Consider the following 21,426-nt stretch of genomic DNA (forward strand, 5'->3'; position numbering starts at 1 on the left):
AAGGAAGGGATCCAGTTTCAGCTTTCTACATATGGCTAGCCAGTTTTCCCAGCACCATTTGTTAAATAGGGAATCCTTTCCCCATTGCTTGTTTTTGTCAGGTTTGTCAAAGATCAGATGGTTGTAGATGTGTGGTATTATTTCTGAGGGCTCTGTTCTGTTCCATTGGTCTATATCTCTGTTTTGGTACCAGTACCATGCTGTTTTGGTTACTGTAGCCTTATAATATAGTTTGAAGTCAGGTAGCATGATGCCTCCAGGTTTGTTCTTTTGGCTTAGGATTGACTTGGCAATGCAGGCTCATTTTGATTCCATGTGAACTTTAAAGTAGTTTTTTCCAATTCTGTGAAGAAAGTCATTGGTAGCTTGATGGGGATGGCATTGAATCTATAAATGACCTTGGGCAGTATGGCCATTTTCACGATATTGATTATTCCTATCCATGAGCATGGAATGTTCTTCCATTTGTTTGTATTCTCTTTTATTTCGTTGTGCAGTGGTTTGTAGTTCTCCTTGAAGAGGTCCTTCACATCCCTTGTAATTTGGATTCCTAAGTATTTTATTCCCTTTGAAGCTATTGTGAATGGGAGTTCACTCATGATTTGGCTCTCTATTTGTCTGTTATTGATGTATAAGAATGCTTGTGATTTTTGCACATTGATTTTGTATCCTGAGACTTTGCTGAAGTTGCCTATCAGCTTAAGGAGATTTTGGGCTGAGATGATGGGGTTTTCTAAATATACAATCATGTCGTCTGCAAACAGGGACAATCTGACTTCCTCTTTTCCTAATTGAATACCCTTTTTTTCTTTCTCCTGCTTGATTGCCCTGACCAAAACTTCCAACACTATGTTGAATAGGAGTGGTGAGAGATGGCATCCCTGTCTACACAAGGGATTTTTTTTTAAGGCTATGAATCTATTTTGGACACATGACATTATTTGTCAAAATCCTTTGTAAAATACAGTACAAAGTGTGAATCCTAACACTTAAAATTTTGAAAAGAAAAAATTTTAAAAACATAAATATTTACAGATATGTTTATATACATGGGTTGGTATACACACATATATTTCCATCTCTGCAGTGAAGAGCACCTAAAGGCAAAGACACCCCAGTAACTTTGAGGACACCACTTCCCCAGATCTTACTTTCTAATTGTAATCTCCTCCAACAGAAACAATTAGGGCTTTTTGGATAAACGGCTGATTCTAGGACTAAGACAGGAAATATACCAGATAAGCCTGGTATATCTTGTAGTGTCACAAAATAAGGGAGTTTAAAAAACAAAACAAAACCATAATGAGGAAGTTAAAGCACCCCAGAGCCAACTGAAAGAGCTCTCAAACAATAAATATGAAAAATAAAGTACTATATTTTAACCAAAAGTAGAATGTAAATATCCATGAGTTCAAACTAATTTAAATTATTGTGTAGAAAACAAATAGAGTAGAAAAGACAAATCTCCCATGCAGAAGAAATCCAAATAACTTACATAGATAATCTGCCCTCAAGGAAGTTGCATTTAATTCCACAATCCTTAAGTGTGCTCTGCATTGTGACTTCTCTCCCCAAAGTACAGTATAGAAAGAAGGGAAAAGAATAACTTGGCAGTGAAGAAATCTGACAAACCATTACCTCAGCCACGGATCCAAGTTAACAACAGTGATACCATGATTGTATATAATCTTGATGTGATGTTCTCAAAATGATACTTAACCCATCTAATTTCTTTCCAAAAAGCCATAACTCCAGTCTAATCATAAGGAAGAACATCAGACTTTTTAATTCAAATTGAGACCATTTTAATTGAAGAACTTTCTATAAAACATTTGAATTCTGGATACAAGGAATGTCTGGGAAACTTATAGCCAAGAGGAACTTAAACAGACATGATAATTAAATGCAATATGGTATCTTGGATGAGATCTTGGGACAAGGAAAGGCACATCAAGTGTAATATAAGAAAATATGATTAAGATACACATTTTAGTGACTAAAGCCTCAATAGTGGTTAATTACAACAAATATTCATAGTGATGAAAGATATTAATTATAAAGGAAACTGAGTGTAGAGTTTATGGAGACTACTAGTACTCTGTAATATTTCTGTAAATTCAAAACTGGTATAAAAATAAAGTTTATTAAAAATATCATATATCTGTCCACCGAAAAAGTCTAAAAGCAATGATACCCTGGAATTAATTAGCACACCTAGCGCCCAGGTTTTGGTTTCAGAATGCCATTAGCCACTAAATAGAATTAAGACTCCTTGAAGAGATACTAGAATATAATCTTTTGGCACACAAAATGCATGTAAGGCTTATATCTATCTAAATCTGTATCTGTATCTGTATCTGTATCTGTATCTGTATCTGTATCCGTACCTGTACCTGTATCTGTATCTATATCTAGACTTACCTTGGTGTAGGTACTGTTTTGCAAGAAACACTCAAAGACCAATAAAATCATGTAAACTCACACAGACACACAATTAAATTCAGCTTGAAAGAGCTGGTTATATGTGGTGTGATTTTAGCATCAAAATGAATAATTTCAATGACTATAATTTAAAGTAACCATTAAGTCAATATAAGGATGTGAATTCATAATATGTAAGGAAATGGGGGAATGAGAGAGAGAAGTGGAAGGAGGAAGGGATGAAGAGGACATTCTGTGCACATTTTGCTCACTTTAATTCCTGAACTCTTTAATACACTTAAGAAACTGACTTAAAGTCAAAAGTGACCCATTTAAGTCTCATCAGCATAAATGCAACCTTTTTTATAGGTGCACATTTGTGCACACACACAGAGATTTTAGAAACGACATAAAACATAATGTAATAAATTCTGCAGGCAAATGGCATATATTAGAAATGCTTACTCAGTAATAGGCATCTGGTAATATTATTAAGAGCATTTTTTAGTCATTCGAGCGTCTATTTAATTGTATTTAGTGAGGATGAAATTGGCTAATACATGTACTTAGAAACGTGCCTAGTACTTAATATACTCATATATAATTATTATAATTTAATAGTATGAACAAAATGAAAATAGTTTGAAAATCCATACATCTACATAGAGTGATTTTTTTCCTACCTATTCTCTAGGTCAATGGTTTTTAAACTATTTTTTTCCATAAAATTTATTGTACACAATACAAACTATATTATATGTTATAGGATATTTAAAGGACATACATATGTAATTTTTCATCTAAGTAATTTTCACCTTAATTTTGAACCCGAATTCCAAGAAAGATCTGATTTTCAGTCTACAGTATTTTTTTTAAATTTTGAGTTCTGGAGTACATGTGCAGGATGTGTGGGTTTGTTACATAGGTAAACATGTGCCATGGTGGTTTCCTACACCCAGCAATCCATCACCTAGGTATTAAGCCCAGCATGCTTTAGCTATTTTTCCTAATGCTCTCCCTCCCCCAACCCCATCTACCAAAAGGCTCCTGTGTGTGTTGTTCCCCTCCCTGTGTCAATGTGTTCACATTGTTCAGTTCCCACTTGTAAGTGAGAACATGTGGTGTTTGGTTTTCTGTTCCTGAGTTAGTTTGCTGAAGATAATGGCTTCCAGCTCTGTCCGTGTCCCTACAAAGGACATGCTCTCATTCCTTTTTATCAGCCTAGAGTATTTTTAAAGAACATTTCATTATTTTCATTTTGGTACATTATATTGCACAGGAATTATTGCTCATTCTTTAGGCTTGTTCCAGCAAGATGGTGTTTGAAAAATGTAATTCTCTTTTTTGTGGTATATAACATCACTGGATACGTACAATTATATACTCAGTGAAACATTTGCAGGCTCATTTTTATAAAAACATTTGTTCGATTTTTTTTAACTCTAGAGTAGAGCCAATGTGGAAAGAATTATTTAGGTAAATCACATACCAATAAACATACTCAACTGAATATTAAATCTCTAAAATATAAACTATGAATATCTGTGTTTTAATAAACCTTCTAGTTGAGCAGAAAAATGTTTTATTAAAATAAAAAATGGTACACAGTACGATGAAACATAAAATAATATATGTAGTCATAGGCAAATCAATATCCGTTTTGCGCTACACATTTTTAGTAGTTTCATACAGTTTTTATTACTGAAATCTTTTGGAAATTCAACTCACAAATAACCTAATGGGTTTAGGTCATAAAGCATGCATGTATATTTTTGAATACATTTAAATATAATGCCAATTATGAATATTTCTCTTGTACACCATAATGAAACATATTTTGATTATATCAGAATAGTGGACATACAAAGATAAGATCCTAGAAATCCCTCAGAGAAGCTTCAGTATCAATGAAGAATATTTATAGAATAGACCTGCAATCTATATAGACAATCTATTCAATTTATATAGACAATTTATTCAGCTAAGCTATTCCAATGTGTAACAGTAACATATTCACTAAATTCCCCACTCTCCGCTTTTTTTGGCTACACAGGTAGAAGGCAGGCCTAGTGCAGCAGCAAAAACTAAATGAAATGCAATAGTGGAAGAGAAATAGGAATCCGTGTGGTTAATGGACCACTGTGATGATCACCATGAACAAAAAGTAGATGTCAGTTATTTTTATGCGTTTGCTTTGGAATTCCCAGTAGTATGGACAAAGAGAAGACAAATTCCTTTCAAATATTTCTCCTAACTTCTCAATAAGTACTTTAATTATTTGAGAGCCCTGGCACTCTAGATCAGTGATTGTCCATATTGGCTACCAATAGAATCACTTTGAAGAAATTTAAATAAGAACCATGTTCCATTAACACCCCAGATTAATTCAACAAAATCACTTGAGGTTGATCTCAAGTGTAGGTATTTTTTAAAGCTCTCCGAATGATGATATTCTGTAGACATCCTTGAGAATCACTCCAGTGTTCAAATTGATTGTGTTGTCTTTGTGTGATACTATATTGATTCCAATGTGGAACTCACTTATTCAGTTTTCAAAACATATATTTAGTGTATATTACTGAATTTAATATATCTTACCAAACATTGTTTTCAGGAAGAGTCATTCACAGAAATACACAATATTTATTACCAAATTTGTTTCACTCCTCCTGTGGTCTCTGATTCTCTCTCTGTTTCTCTCATTGAAGTTGCTTCTTCTCTAATTTTCAAGATTTTGTACCAGAAAGCCATCAGACCAATCAGTGAGATGCAGAGGAGAGAGAATTTGTCTCCAACCCAGGCACTGACATAGTAGTTTGTTTTGCTTTACATCAAACATACCCTAAAAAGGGCAAGAGAGTCAAGCAGTATGATTTCTTGAGTGGATTTCTAATGCCAGTAATTAAGAAAATATAAATTATCCCATTTATTGCTCTATGAATGCTAGAGAAAGTAAAGAATAAACTGATTTAGGATCAATAAATAGTCAAATTAATTAAAAAGAATAATTAAAACAGCATACTCTGGTTACTTCTGCAGGGGAAGTTACTACCCCAAGACTTAGCAGCTAAAAATAATAACCATTTTATGATGTCATGATTTTGTGGGTGAGGGATTTGGCTAAGTTTGGCTAGGTTATTCTGCTTCATTTGGTGTTCATGGAGAATACTGCATGGTATTCAACTGATGTATGGGCTTCTCTGGAGGGTCCAAGAAGATTCCATTTACTTCCATTCATATGTATGGCTCCTTGGTGGGTATGGCTAGAAGGCTGGGCTAAGCTGGGACTGCTGCCATTCTATCTACACATGCCTCCTCTGCATGGGAGCATCAGGGGACTCAGACATCTACTATGGAGGCTCAAGTCACCAAGAGCAAGCATTCTAGTGAACAAGGTGGAAGATTCATGACCTTATTCTCTAGTTTCAATAATCACTTCTGCTGTACTCCTGGTCAAAGTAATCACAAACCTGTGAAGGTGTTAAGAATATGCCACCCCAAAATATGCTGTGTTGGCATATTGACTATTTTGAATTAAAGGTACTTTAAAAAACAGCAGATACAAAAAAATTCACTCTAACCTTCATTCTGTTGCTTAAAAACAGGAGAAAAAAGTCTAACAGAAAAAATGGACTGCCTATAAAAGTTTTATCATCAAGGACACAAAGTTTAAGCCAAAAGAAATATGCACAAACAAACCTTGTTAAACTAGCCCCTCCCTTCCTACTCACTTCTCTACCCAGTTAACTACCCTGGCCCAAGCGCTTTGCCTTATTATCTTTCACAACTTAACTATTTTTTTACCCAATTTTATATGTAAGTACTTGACTCAAACTGCTTTTTTTTTTTAAATCTTCATTTCCTATTAGGTCTTTTGTGTCATTTAAAACTTATATTAAATAATTCTGTGCCATCTTAATCCTAGAAATGCATGATCTTTTTCACAGACTGGTTTATTTTCTTTCGGATATATACCCAGTAATGGGATTGCTAGGTCGAATGGTAACTCTGTTTTTACTTCTTTGGGAAATCTCCAAACTGCTTTCCACAGTGGCTGAACTAATTTACATAACTACCAATAGTGTATCAGCATTCCCTTTTCTTTGAAGCCTTGCCAGCATCTCTTGGTTTTTGACTTTTTGATAATAGCCATTCAGACTGGTATGAGAAGGTATCTCATTTTGGTTTTGATTTGCATCTTTCTGATGATTAGTGATGTTGATCATTTTTTTCATGTTTATTAGGTGTTTGTATGTCTTCTTGTGAAAAGTGCCTGTTCATGTCATCTCATTTGCCCACTTTTCAATGAGGCTATTTGTTTTTTGCTTATTGAATTGTTTAAGTTCCTTACAGATTGTGGATATTAATCCTTTCTTAGATGAATAGCTTGTGATGATTTTCTTTCATTCCGTGGGTTGTATGTTGACTCTGACGTTTTGTTTTGTTTTGTTTCTGGTTTTTTTTTTTTTTTTTTTTTTTTTTTTTTTGCTGTGCAGAAGCTCTTTAGTATAATTAGGCTTACTTGTTAATTTTTGTTGCAATTGATTTTGAGGATTTAGTTATAAATTATTTGCTAAGGCTGATGCCAAGAATGGTATTTCCTAGGTTTAGTTCTAGAATTTTCTAGTTTGAGATACTATATTTAAGTTTTTAATCCATCTTGAGTTAATTTTTACATATGGTGAAATGTAGAGGTCCAGTTTAATTCTTCTGTATATGGCTAGCCAGTTATCCCAGCACCATTTATTGAATACAGAGTCCTACCCCCACAGCTTACTTTTGTCAAGTTTGTCAAAAATCAGATGGTTGTAGGTGTGTGGCTTTATGTCTAGGTACTCTATTCAGTTACATTGCTCTATGTGTTTTTTGTTTGTTTGTTTGTACCAGTACCATGCTGTTTTGATTACTTTAACCTTTGAGTACAGTTTGAAGTTGGGTAATGTTATGACTCTGGCTTTATTCTTTTTGCTTATGATTGCTTTGGCTATTCAGGCTCAATTTTGTTCCATATGAATACCATTCCTATGAAATTACCAACATCATTTTTCACAGAATTAGAAAAAAACTTCAAAAATGTCATAGGAATAATGTTGAATCTGTAGATTGCTTTGGGTAGAACGGCCATTATAACAATATTGATTCTTCTAATCTTTGAACGTGCAAAGTTTTTTCATTTGTTTGTGTCATCTGTGATTCCTTTCAGTAGTATTTTGTTGTTCTCCTTGTAGAAATCTTTCACCTCCTTGTTTAGCTGTATTGTTAGGTATCTGTGTGTGTGTGTGTGTGTGTGTGTGTTGTGTGTGTGTGTATGTGTGGCTATTTTAAACGGGATTGGGTTCTTGATTTGGCTCTCAGCTACAACATTATTGATGTATATAAATGCTAATAATTTTTGTACATTAATTTTGTATCATGAAACTTTACTGCAGTTATTTATCTGTTCTAGGAGCCTTTTGGCAGAGTCTTCACAATTTTCTAGGTATAGAATCATATCATCAGAAAGGACAGATAATTTGGGGCCAGGGGCTGTGGCTCACGCCTCTAATCCCAGCACTTTGGGAGGCCGAGGCAGGCGGATCACGAGGTCAGCAGATCGAGACCATCCTGGCTAACACGGTGAAACCCCCGCCTCTACTAAAAATACAAAAAATTAGCCAGGCATGAGGGCGGGCGCCTGTAGTCCCAGCTACTCGGGAGGCTGAGGCAGGAGAATGGCGTGAACCCGCAGGCGGAGCTTTAAGTGAGCCAAGATCGCGCCACTGCACACCAGCCTGGGCGACAAAGCGAGACTCCGTCTCAAAAAAAAAAAAAAAAAAAAAGAAAGAAAGGACAGGTAATTTGACTTCATTTTCTATGTGGATGCATTTTATGTCTTTCTCTTGCCTGATTGCTTGGGCTTAGACATCCAGTACTATGTGGAATAGGAGTAGTGAGAGTGGATATCCTTGTCTTGTTCCTGTTCACAAAAGGAATGCTTCCCGCTTTTACCCTGATGTTGGCTGTGCATTTCTCATCCACGGCATTTATTATTTTGAGGTGCATTCCTTCAATGCATTTTTGAGAGTTTTTGTCATGAAAGATTGTTGGGTTTTATCAAAAGTTTTTTCTGCGTATGTTGAGATGATCATATGGTTTTCATTTTTAGTTCTGTTTATGTATTGAATCATATATATTGATTTGTGTATATTGAAACTATTCTGCATCCCAGGAATAAAGCCTACTGTATGGTATTGAATTAACTTTTTGATACACTGCTGAATTTGGTTTCCTAGTATTTAGTTGAGGATTTTTGTATCTATTTATCAGAGATACTGCCCTGTGATTTTCCTTTTTCATTGTGTCTTTGCCAAATTTTAGTATTAGGATGATGCTGACTTCATAGAATGAGTTAGGGGGGAATCCCTTCTCCTGGATTTTTAGAAGAGTTTCAGTTGACTAAGTACCAGTTCTTTGTACGTCTAGTAGAATTTTGCTGTGAACCCATTTGGTCCAGGGCTTTTTTTTTTTTGGGGGGGGGGGGGGTTGGTAGGATTTTTATTACTGATTCAATTTCAGAACTCTATTAGTCTCTTCAGAGTTTCAATTTCTTTCTCATTCAATCTTGGGAGGTTGTGTGTTTCTAGGAATATATTCATTTCCTCTAAATTTTCCAGTTTGTGTGCATAGATATGTTTATAGTAGTCTCTGAGGATCTTTTATATTTCTGTAGGATAAGTTGTAATGCCATCTTTGTCATTTCGGATTGTGTTTATTTGGATCTTCTCTTCTTCTTTCTTTGGTAATCTGATTAGTGGTCTACAGATCTTATTTATTCTTTCAAAGCACCAAGTTTTGGGTTTGCTGATCCTTTGTATGGATTTGGGGATATCAAATTCATTCAGTTCTGCTTTGATTTTAGTAATTTCTTTTCTCTTATTTTTTGGATTATTTTGTTCTTGTTTTTCTAGTTCCTCAAAGCACAATCTTAGATTGTTAATTTGAGAACTTTCTATCTTCTCGATGCAGAATTTTTTATGTCTGCTTTGATTTTGTTGTTTCCCCAAAAGTTTTCAAGAACAAGTTGTTAATTTCCATGTAATTGTGATTTTGAGATATCTTCTTGGTATTGATTCCCATTTTTATTTCCCTGTGGCCTTAATGCGTGGTTAGTATGATTTATCATTTTGGGGGGAATTTTTTGATGCTTGCTTTATGGCCAAGTATGTAGTCAGTCTTAGATTTGTTCTGTGTGCAGATGAGTAAACTCTATTTTCTGTGGTTGATTAGTAGAATATTCTATAGTGTCTATTAGATCCAATAGATTGTGTTGAATTTAATACCAGAATTTATTTGCCAGTTTTCTGCCTTGATGATCTGTCTAATTCTGTCAGTGGGGTGTTGAAGTTTTTCAGTATTATTGTGTGACTAAGTCTTTTCCTAGGTCTACAAGTACTTGTTTTATGAATATGCATGCTTCTATGTTGGATATGTTGCCACTTTGTGCCTTTTAATTGGGTCATGTAGACCATTTATATTCACAGTTAATATTGATTTGTGAGATTGTTATCCTATCATGAAGTTGTTAGTAGCTCTGTGATTTCAACTGTGTAGTTGCTTTATAGGTTTGTGGACTATGTACTTAAGTGTGTTTTTGTGGTAGCAAGTTTCATCCTTTTGTTTCCTTGTTTAGAACTCCATGAAGGACCTCTTGTGAGGATGGTCTATTAATTAGGTAATTAATCTCTTTAGCATTTGCTTGTCTGAAAAATATTGTATTTCTTCACTTATGAAATTTATTTTGGCAGGATATGAAAATCTTGGTTGAATGTTCTTCTCTTTAAGAGTGTTGAAAATAGATGCCCAGTCCCTTTTGGCTTGTAAGGTTTCTGCTGAGAGGTTTCTGTTAGCCTGATAGGGTTCCCTTTGTGAACAACTTTTTCTCTAGCTGCGTTTAAGCATTTTTTTTTTTTTTTTTTTTTTTTTGCATTGGTCTTGGATAGTCTGGTGACTATATGCCTTGGTGATGTTCATTTTGTGTAGTATCTTGCAAGTGTTGTCTGGATTTTTTTATATCTTTATGTTTACCTCTTTAGTAAGATTAAGGAAATTTTCTTGAAATATCCCCTTAAATATGTTTTCTGGGTTGTTTACATTTGGCCTCTCTTAGGAATGCCAATAATTTGTAAGTTAGGCCACTTTACATAATCCCACATTTCTTAGACTTTATTCATTTCGTAATTTTTTTTTATTTTTGTCTGACTGGATTAACTCAAAAGGGCAGTCTTCAATTTCTGAAATTTTTTCTTCTACTTTATCGAAAGCTTTCCATTTTATTTTGAAATTTCTTACATGATTTTTTTTAATTCCAGAAGCTCTGATTAATTCTGTTTAAGATATTTATCCTTTCTTCATTTCCTGGATTACTTTAGAAGTTTCCTTGTGTTGATTTTCAAGCTTGTCTTGAGACTCTAGCTTTTAAAATCCTTGCTTTTAATTCTTTATGTCATTTCTGAGTTTCCATTTTTGTTAGGGCTCATTGTTAGAAAGGTGCTAGGATCCTTTGGTGGTGTGACAACATTCAGATTTTTTTACAATGCCAGAATTCTTAATGCTGATTTATTCTTGTCTGGACAGCCTGCCACTTTTAATCTTTTAACTATTTTCACATGGCAAGATATTTTTCTTTTTGTCTATATTTTTTCTTTCCCTGTCTTCCCCTCCCCAAATGGTGTGACTGTAGAGTAAGTTGAGTAGGGTCTTCTGGTTTTGCTTCTATAGCTCTATGTACTTCTGTTAGCGGGTTTTACATTGGGCTGTACCATTTGACCTACAGACCACTACATGTTACTTACGGTTAAGAGCCAGCTGTGGCACAGGCAAATGTGGATGTATCTGATCTTTGTTTACTCTGGAGTGCTCTCTGTTTCAAGTGATGGGCTAGCTGGACAGTGGAGTCCCCAGTCTCCTGAGTTTTCTGTGCCATGGCAGTGGGGGTCACAGCTGGGCAGAGCTGGAGCCCCTGGCTTCCCCATGAGGGATGTATGTTGACTGCAGGCACCAACCCTGATGAAGGTGGCTGGGAGGGGCTCCTGGAGAAATGTGCTGATGTCTCTTCCTACTGGAAATGATGAAGCTGTGGCATCTCCTCATCTTAGATAGGCAGTAATGTGCACTGTTACTCTATAACCCCCATATTTCGGGGGCTCATGACTTCTAGTTCAGATGAACACTGTAGTCTGTCTCTGAACCGTAATGTGGCTGATAGCCTCAGGAAATGCCTGTTTTGTGACTCTCCATGGGAGTGGTTTCGGGGTACAACTTCTTCATATTATGATAGCTTTATGGCTCATCTGTTCTCTGATGTGGTAGCACTGCAATTTCATGTAAAGGTGAGGGCTCCACCTTTGGACCCATGCTGGTGGGTGTTTGTTGTGGTGGTATAGGCCACTTGGATTAGCCCAACCTCAGGCCCTGGGGAAGTGGTCAGGTGCTAGCAGAGTTGGAATACAATAGATAGTTTCCCAGTTCCCTTGTCCTAGATGGCCAACTGAACATCATGTATGAGTCCTAATGGGGCTAATCTGGGGTTGGGCTAGCCCAAGGATCAAGTTCTGGTCGTAACTGGGGAGGGGCTGGCTAGTTCTCAGGTCATGGGCTGAACTCTCAGGCAGGGGCAGACAGAATACTTGGGCAGTGGGAGCCCAAGGAAAGTTCATAATCCACTGGAGGTAGGGTTTTCAGTAGGACTCTGGGCCACAGCTGAAATGCTAAGTCAGGTGTGTGCAGTCATGCTGTGTGCCCAAGCTGGTGTACCCTGTTTGGAGTGGAGCAGCACGGGCAAATTTTCCATGGTAAAAGTTCTGGTTGCCTCTCAGTGCAGCAGCAGCAGCATGCTGGAAATGCAGGAAAGCACTCAACTCCTTTGATCCCTCTGTAGCCTGAGGGAACCAGCAATTGCAGAGGGACTATCACATACCTCTGGGAGTTTCCTCCCAGAGAAATGCGGAGCTATGACTCTCCACCCTGACGGCAGGGTGGCTGTGCTAGGGACCAAAGCTGGTGAGTCCTGCCTGGTGAGAAGTGAGGGTGCGATCTGCAGTTAATTTACTCCTCAGCACTGCGTCTGTGGCATCTGTACTAGGAGTAAGTGAAAGAGCCTTTCCTCCCTTGTTGACAGGGCTATGGCAGCTGGCACTGAAGTGCTCAGGGATCCAAGACCTGTGGGACCCTATATGGGCTTGAGCAGTGCCTCTGCACAGACTCCAGGTGGCTCTCTGTGTTGCTCTGGAGGCTCATGGTGGGTGAGAGAGTCTGTCCTGTGCCCAGGATTACTAAAGTCCATGGCGGAAGTGTGGATCTTCTAGGGGCTCTCACTCACTCACCCTTTCCTTACATTAGGGAGATTCCTCCAGCTCCCCTGGTCCCAGGTGGGTGGCTGTGCAGCTTTACTCTTCTTTGTTCTCCATGAGTCCTGTTGCTTTCTTGGTGAATTACAACGGGATCTCTTAGGTGATCTGCCTGAATTGCTGGTATTCGCTCACCACTTTGTTTCCTTTTTGTGAAAGCAGCACACATTAGCTGCTTCTAGTCAGCCATCTTGAACTTAGTTATATTATTCTAACATGCAAAATATACTCATGCCTCCCAATACCTCTCAAAATTCTCATCTCATAGTAAAAGTCTGGGTCAGAGTATGGATGTCTTTAAGCCAAGTCAATTCTAAGTACAAATTAGGCTCTTCAAGTATGGTTTCTTAGGTACGATTCATCTGGATTCTAGGACCTATAAACTAAGAGTGAGTTAATTGCCTTTCATACATCCAATATTCGATGGTGAGAAAGGTATAGAAGTACCACTTTAGATCTCTTTATTGTAAAAGGGGAAATAGAAGAGGCTTATACCAATCACTGGTCCAGAGCTGTTCTGAAATCTAGCTAGATGTGTATTGCCAGTTTCTTTAATAGGACCTTTTTCTGTTCCCTGGGCATGTTTGTTCAGAGTCTTTAGCACTGCCTTCTGGGCTTTTGGTTTTAATATTTGAGCCACAATTTCTCTTTCATTAAAAACAGCTCATATTTGCCATAGTTCTCTCACCCTACTTTTTTCCTCTAAAATTTTTGGAGAACAACAGTCTATTATTTTTAAACATTTTTTTCCCTTTGGGTCCAACATGGCGTAATTTCTTTGTGATTTTCTTAGTTTTGGTTTAAAATTCACTCCATTAAACAAAAGACACACCCACAAATACCTTCTAGACAAGCTCTTATCTACCTTGCTGAGGAGCAGCATCCTTAAGATACTTAGAAACCTCTTTGTATTTAACAGAGAAACTGGGGAGCACACTTAAGATATTTTTAAAGGTTTGTGGTTGTTTTCTTTCTGAAATGTTTTATGAGAATGGGGAACTTTCTAAATTCTTTCTGAGGGTTTAGCAAAGGATTTCAAAGTGATATAATGGCTATATCTTTTCCTGTTAATGTGATTTACTGAAAGAGCCCTGGTTTTGTCCTTTGCTCCCACCCCTTTTTAAAAGTCAGTTTTGATGACATAAAATATACATACAATACATTTTAATGAATATGGTCATATAACCAGTACCCCAAACAAGATATATAATATTTCTGAATATTTCCCCATCCTAGAAACATTTCTTCTTCTTTGCAGATATTCCCTATTACTGACTGAGTTGTTCCCTCGAAATTAGTATGTTGAAACAATGCAACTGTATTTAGAAGTAGGGGCTTTAGAGAGCTAATGAACTTTAAATGAGATCAGCATGGTGATCTCATTTAAAGTTTGGATCAGCAAGGTGATCTCATTTAAATAAAAAGAGGAAGAGATTCTAGAGATCGTTCTCTCTCTATGGGTGCACAGAGGATAGGTCATGTGAAGACTCAATGAAAAGGTGGCCATCTACACACCAGGAAGAGGGATTTCACCAGAAACCAAACCTGATGACACCTTTATCTTAGAATTCTAGTCTCGACAATAAGAAAACAAATTTCTGTTGTTTAAGATACTCAGTATGTGCTATTCTATTGTGGCAGCCCAAGCAAACTAATACAATCTCCCTCTCTCACTATCAATTTCTACCTTCAGTTTTTGTCATGAGAACCTAATGATGACTCATGTAGAAGCATTTCTGAGTTATTGTGGACTCTCCTTGACTCTGAGTTTCACAGGGATCCTAAGCTAACCTGTTAGACCACATTTCTCTTCAAGAATTCATTAAAATTTTGCTATTTTTTTCTTACCTGTTTTTACAGTAGATATTACATCTTCCCAAGCTCTGCTAATGGTAAAACTATCAGGAAAAGCAATATATTATCTCTCCTCAGAGAAGTTTGTTATCATTTAGAATTCAGTTCACTTGGTGACCTTTCTGTTTTCAGCTCTCCGAGTTCAGGAAAAGTTATAAATGTCTATTATTCAGCTTTATCCTATTATAGAAATGGCATTATGTTGTAGCTTCTACATCTAACTGAAAGCAATACCCCTTTGCTCCTTTAAAAACTCCTTACCAGCTTGAAAAACTGCTCTGAGACCTCTATATTTTCTCTAAATTCCCACATGAGAATATTGAGAAGTTGCTTGATATACTTCTCCCTTATATTTTATCACAGGCATTCAGAAGAAGAAAGGTAACACCTTCCATATTCTTCATAGAAATTTCTACCCTCATCAGTTCATGTTGTACTTGTTTTATTTTTAACCTTACTGCAGCAAACAATTTTGCCAAACTTTCTTTCTCTTCAGAAATCACATTTTTCCTTATTTTTCACCTTAAACTTTTACTCACAGCTTCCTTGAGGCCAGATTGAGCCTGCTGCTCAATCCCAAAACCAAAGTGACTCATTTTAGTTTTTTGTTAAAGCAGAACCAGATTCCAGTGCTAAACTCTGTTTTAGTTGTCTATTGTTGCATGGCAAAATATTTCCAAACTCAATAACTTCAAACAATAATCATTTTTAATATCTCTCAAAATCTGTGGGTCAGGATTTCTAGCAGGTTTTTTGGCTGTTGAATGTCCCGCTCCATGGAGTATCAATGAAGGTCACTCAGCAGTGGGGTTGGTCTGGAGCATTCCAGTGAGCTTGTCTCCCAGGTATAACACCTTGAGGTTTATGAGTAGAAGGATTGGCTCATCTGGAAACAAGCATCAGATCACTTAGCCATGGCCCCTATATATAGCAGCTTCAGAGTAGCTGTAACTCTAAAATGGAGAGCTCAGGACTCCACGGGCCAGTGTTCGAACAAACATGGTGAAAGTTGCATGACATTTTAAGATATGACGTAAAAATTGCATAGTGTCTATTAGTAAAAGCAATCTGAAGCTCATCCACATTTAAGGGAATGGGACTTTAATGTTTTTTTATGGGAGAATTATAAAAAAAATAGTGGCCATGTTTAAAACACACACACACACACACACACACATATACATAAAGGGAAAAATTGTATTGCCCTCTCCCCAGAATTATTAGTAATGTATCCACACCTAGCTAATTTATTTGTTTATGTAGATATGTGAATTTAGGAAAACCTATATTGTAAGGCACACTATTGCTTTGTGGAATAGCACTTCACACAGACACCAGTTATATCTTATCCTCCCCCATCTCAGTGTATGGAACTGCCTTAGAGAGTCTCATATTTGCCAGGTTATAAGCATCAGCATGGGGTACTTCCTGAGAATACATTATTTACTGAAATTGAATTTTCAGAAAAACATCTAGGAAAAATGCCATTTTCTTTTCTTAAAAAGTATTTTTTTCTTTTGGTGACACATGAGTATAATTTAAAAAGTAAAATAGTACTAAAATATTATAAAATACAGTAGCTACACAGTACCTCCTCCTTCTTTTGAGTATTATACTCAAGAGATAAACACTGTGCAATATAATTTTTAAAAATGCTATCTTGACCTAGTTTTGAGGCACTGGCTAGAAGCTCATAAATTCTCCTTCTTGTGCAGCCAATTAAGTACACATTCCCAACCACCTTTCTTATCTGGCTGTCACACCCTGAGCCACTGTACTTCTGCCCTAAAAGCCCCAGGGTTAGCTACCAGATAACCAGGGGCAGCCTCTGTGCCCCGAAACCCACTAAAATTATTTAAATTAGCTAATCTGACACCTGCTTGCCCTGCTTTGCCCTCTCCTTCCCACAGAAATTACAATGAAGGCGCTAGCCCACAGTTGCCTCCCACTCCGCAACCCCCATGACCAACCCAGTGCTTCTCGAGTGACCCTGCATCCTGTGCTGTGTTCTCTCAAGGGGAACTGTGAGTGTAACAACACTGCTAAATTCTTTCTGATTTACCTCCCTTGATCTGAGTCTGGCTTCACCATACCTCACCCAAGGTAATATTGTTAAAACATACTCCCTTTAAACACTTTTTTATCCTGCTTCTAATATTTATTTTCATATTTCTCAAAAATATGTTTATGCTGCTTTCATCTGATTATTCTTCTTTATAATTATATATTTTCTTTCATTGTGGAAGTTGAAAATTTAGACTTAGACACACTTTCTGCTTTCCCTCTCTCCAGCCTCCCAGTATAGTTACATACATTTTTTCATTAATTCACTATTTAGCATTTATCACACATGTATAAATAATTTTAGTTGCTCAGTAAAGGACTAGAATATTATCGCATATACTTTTTTTTAAAATGATTTTTTTTCTTTCCCTTCAGTTTATTTACTTACTTCATTTTCAAGGTACTTATAACCTATTATTCCCAAATGTTCCAACAACAAATCTAAAAAACAAACAAACAAAACTTTTGAATACTCTTTTGCTCATGGGTATGTATGAGTTCTTTAAATTTGAGAAATTTACTTTGTTCTCTCTTATGTAGATTTCATATTTTCTCTTTCTTAGCCACTTCTCCTGTTCCAGTGGTTCGTATTCTCCTATACCTGTTTCAGAAGAAAAATGTATGGGACATTAAATTTTAGACTTTCAATCACTGAAAAGCTCTTCATTTTACTCTAAAACTTGTCTGACATTTTTCTGGGTCTAGAAGTCTAGAATGACAAGAAGTTTTTGTCAAAAAATTTAAAGTGTATATTTTTTATGTTCAGCTAAATATAAATATTTCAAATTATATTTTGGCATGACATTATTGTGTTAATATTTTCAAAATGTATAATAAAACATACACACACTCACACATACACATATATAGAGAGAAAGAGAAAGTGAGTGTCAAAAAAGAAAAGAACATTACTAAAATGAGCAATAATAAGCAGTACAAATAATAGCAAATATGTATTTGCTAATAACACATGCAAAGATGTATGTGCACACACTCAAAATCTCTAATTTATATATATTTGCTAGTAACACATGCAAAGCTGTATGCACACACTCTCAAAAATCTCTGATTTTGTGAGAGTAAATCTCACCCAAGAATTGTCTTACTGAAATATTCTGTGAACCTGTCAGTAGCTATTCCATTTCATTCCACAACATAACAAAAAGAGCAAAAGGAGAGAAGAAATATCACTTAACAATCAATAAAACATAAACTCTCTGTCTCCAGCATAAGCAGTAAGAGCTCTACAATAATCGCTCTTTCTGTGTGACATAGGAGGCAGTTCAAAGGAGATTGGTCAGTAATACTTATTTATCTTGTGGATCACACTGACATTGTAAATTCTTAAAATTAACTTTTGATGTGCTAATGATTAATTGATAAAGAGTCTACAATAAGCTTAATGTCTTAATATGTACAATTTTATTTCAGTGGATGACTCAATTAAATATTTGCAGATTGGAGAATTTTTAAACAGGTGACTTGGAACTGACAAAAGTATACCATCCACTTTCTGTATTCCTTTAGCAATTTGCTTGTGATTCCTAAAGAATGCACCATCTTTCATTGTAACGATTTGTATAACTGCAGGTCTGCTACCACGTACTGGGAACAATTTGCAGACAGAGATCTTTGTATAACTGGTTTGACTTTACTTCCAGAAATGCATAGTCCCTGGCATAAAAATATGCTTAGTACATGCTAGATGAATAAGAAAATGAATGAACATACTCTATTTTTGGGTGGATTTTACTTCCTTCCCAAATATTTTTTTCCTAGTATCTAAAATATGAATTCGAATGAGATCCTTGTTCAATAGTTGGATATCTATTGTAAGTGACAAAACCTCAATTCAAATAAATAAAGCAAGAGCCATCTCAAAAAGAAAAAAAAAAGATAAAACCAAGGACATAAAGACACTTTTTGTCACCTTATCTCTCTGGATGTGGGTTTCATTTTTCATATAGGCTATTGTCAAGATTCTAACTCACTACTACATTGTTACAAGCAGTTCTGAATTACATCTTTTCAATCAAAGCAAGAAGAAAACTTTTTTGTCATTACCAGTAAGAAAAGAAATAAAATAGTGAGAAATTTCTCTGATTGGTCTAGCTTTGTGAGTGAGCTTAGGCTGGGATCAAGAGTTCTTTCCAGAGTAATCTTTGGCCCATCCCAGGTCATATGTTTAGAGTTTGTTCAAAGAGGCTAATGATGAACAAAAACACACAGACATGGCCAGGAAGGAATGGCTAGGTACAGAGTCATTTTAAATTTTCTTTATTCTGTCTGATAACCTTTACATTCAAAGACTTCAAGGTCACAGATAAACTAAGAAGAAAACATGAGAGAAAAATTATGAGTGTTTTTCTTCACTTTTTTTTTTTTTTTTTACAACAACTCAGATTTAAACAAGTAAAGTAACTAACACGGTTGGCAGTAGGACTGAAGCTGTCAATAGTGAAAATAGTCATGGTCATCACTCAAATAAAAAATTACATGCTCAATGGAGAAATTACTAGAAATTGAATATTTCAGCAACACAAGATGCTGAAAATGTATCTCTCTCTTTATGTTTTCTTTTCCACATACGAAATGAGACTCGTTGGTGATTTGAAAACCTGTGGAAACAAAAAGTAAGCAGCTAAAATTTAAGAGTTTTGGAAAGGTCATCATTGGGATTTGGAAATTAAGGGTGATGAATACTAAGATATTGCTAGTGTAGGCACAGTTCACCAGTTCATGTAATCTTCCCATTCCCCAGGTTCCTGCCTGATAATGGAAATAATTATATACAGCCCACAAGTAGTGGCAGGGATGAGGAGGAACAGAACTGGCATTTAGTATCAGCTTCTAAGTTAAATTTCATGAATACTTGAATATAGTTTATTCTCATAACTACCTGGATATAGTAATATCCCATTCAAGAAGTGAGAAAACTTTTTCAAAGAAACTGTATCTTATTAAAAGGTCACACAGTAATTTGCAAAGACAGAACGTAAATGCTGCCATGTACACTTTTGAGAAAAGATATTTTAAAAACCACCTAGGTATATATAGAAGAGGACACCGTACCTTATTAACAATCTTGAACACAGGAAGAGAAATTTTGAATGGATATGTTCCTGAAACATACTGTTGTCAAATGCATGCCTCTTTATTTATAAGAGTAATATAATAAATTTAAAGCCAACACTGGAAGTAAATGCATGATTTTTTTGCAAATTTCACATAAGCATGATTACTGGAAAAACACTAGAGTGATAATGAGAAAATGTTTTCCAATGATAACTTCTTTGTCATCTTTACTGTTTACAAAATAAGAAAGCACATTTGTAAACAAATCTGTAAACAATTCAGTGAACAATTAACATAATTGTTTATCAGTCATATTTTGAAATTTTGAAGTAAACACTGATATTATTAGCTTGTTTTTATCTTCCAATAAGATAACCCTCCATGTTTTATCTAGGCACATGATTACCAATTTTCAGACTTTAATTCCTAGCTTGTCTTGCAGAAAAATACGGTCATTGTCATAGACACAACCTGTGGAATGTGCTAGAGGATATGTGTGTTCCTTTTAGGGAAACTTATCCTGAATTTCTTTCTTAATCTTTCCTGGGAGATGGAAGGTAGAGAAGGCAGTGGCTCACCTTCAATCCTTGGATGAGGACAATACCCTAGAAAATGGCATTGTAAGAAGAATAATATAACTATGTTATGATAACCTGGGTCCCTGACAATCTTTGTTGAAGAGAACTTCCCTGACAGCTCAAACTGCTCAAAAACAACCACCTGCTATATGAAAGAAAAATAAATAATCTGTGTAAATGACAGTTCCAGCAACTTTACCTGGCACCTCACTAATAAAATATCAATCATATTTTATTTTCTATTTCTTCTATTCCCCACTTGGCCCTCTTTCCACCACTTTTCTGGCAGCATATAAGTCATTCTCTGCTGACACCTAAGAAAAAAGATGTGCAAACTCAAATCAGGGAAAAGTAAATTTCTTCAGACTTTTACAAAGGCACCCTAGGAAGTTTATGAGAATAAGAATAGCTAACATTTGTATACTTATTATGTGCCAAACAAGATTCTGGTTATATTTGGACATATCAAATTCTGTGAGGTAGATGCTATAATCATTTCTATTTGTCAAGTAAGAAAGCAAGTTGCAGAGTAGTAAAATAACAAGTGCAAAGCTAGTAAGTGGGTATGTAGGTATTCAAGCCAGTCTGACTTTACAGTCTACGCTTTAGCTCATTCCTAAAAAAGAAATCTGAGTTTTAGGCAATAGACATGGGAGAATTCAGGTAAGAAACTAAAAATTCCTTCCCATGAGACTGGAAAAGAATTATTTTTATTGTAGAGAGTAATGAAATCTCAGACTTTAGTGGATCTGTAGAAACATTTCTGCTCAGTCTGTCATTCCACAGGCTTGTACATGTTAGCAAGGTGTGAGAACATCAGAATTATACTAAATTGTAGTATTGGTGAGAGAGCTTTAAAACATGGCAGAGTATCTAAGAATTAGTAGAACAGAGAAGGAGCACCCCAAACCCTGGACATGTAGGGGATTTTGGAATGAAATTGAGGGATGACTAGCAGTATCTACATAAACCAACAGAGGACTAAAAAAAGCCCCAATCCTCAATAGTTGTTAGCCTATATTATAGGATCCCCCCAAAATACTTATGAG

At 35.9% G+C, this 21,426-nt stretch overlaps 1 long non-coding RNA gene across 1 annotated transcript in view, besides 1 other annotated feature; it reads right to left on the minus strand.

The window, feature by feature from the left end:
* Positions 12,516-12,810: an enhancer, noted in NCBI's record as "tiled region #1681; HepG2 Activating non-DNase unmatched - State 24:Quies, and K562 Activating non-DNase unmatched - State 24:Quies". NCBI's record gives its function as "activates a minimal TATA promoter and a strong SV40 promoter by Sharpr-MPRA in HepG2 and K562 cells {active_cell/tissue: HepG2 | K562}" and the evidence as "EXISTENCE:reporter gene assay evidence [ECO:0000049][PMID:27701403]".
* Positions 18,985-21,426, minus strand: part of LOC105375976 (uncharacterized) — a 60,514-nt gene continuing 58,072 nt past the window's right edge. Inside the window, exon 4 of the long non-coding RNA NR_188496.1 lies at positions 18,985-19,342. This is a non-coding gene — a long non-coding RNA (uncharacterized LOC105375976). The remainder of the gene's footprint in view (positions 19,343-21,426) is intronic.

This window comes from Homo sapiens, chromosome 9, assembly GCF_000001405.40.
Source record: "Homo sapiens chromosome 9, GRCh38.p14 Primary Assembly".
Taxonomy (NCBI): domain Eukaryota; kingdom Metazoa; phylum Chordata; class Mammalia; order Primates; family Hominidae; genus Homo; species Homo sapiens.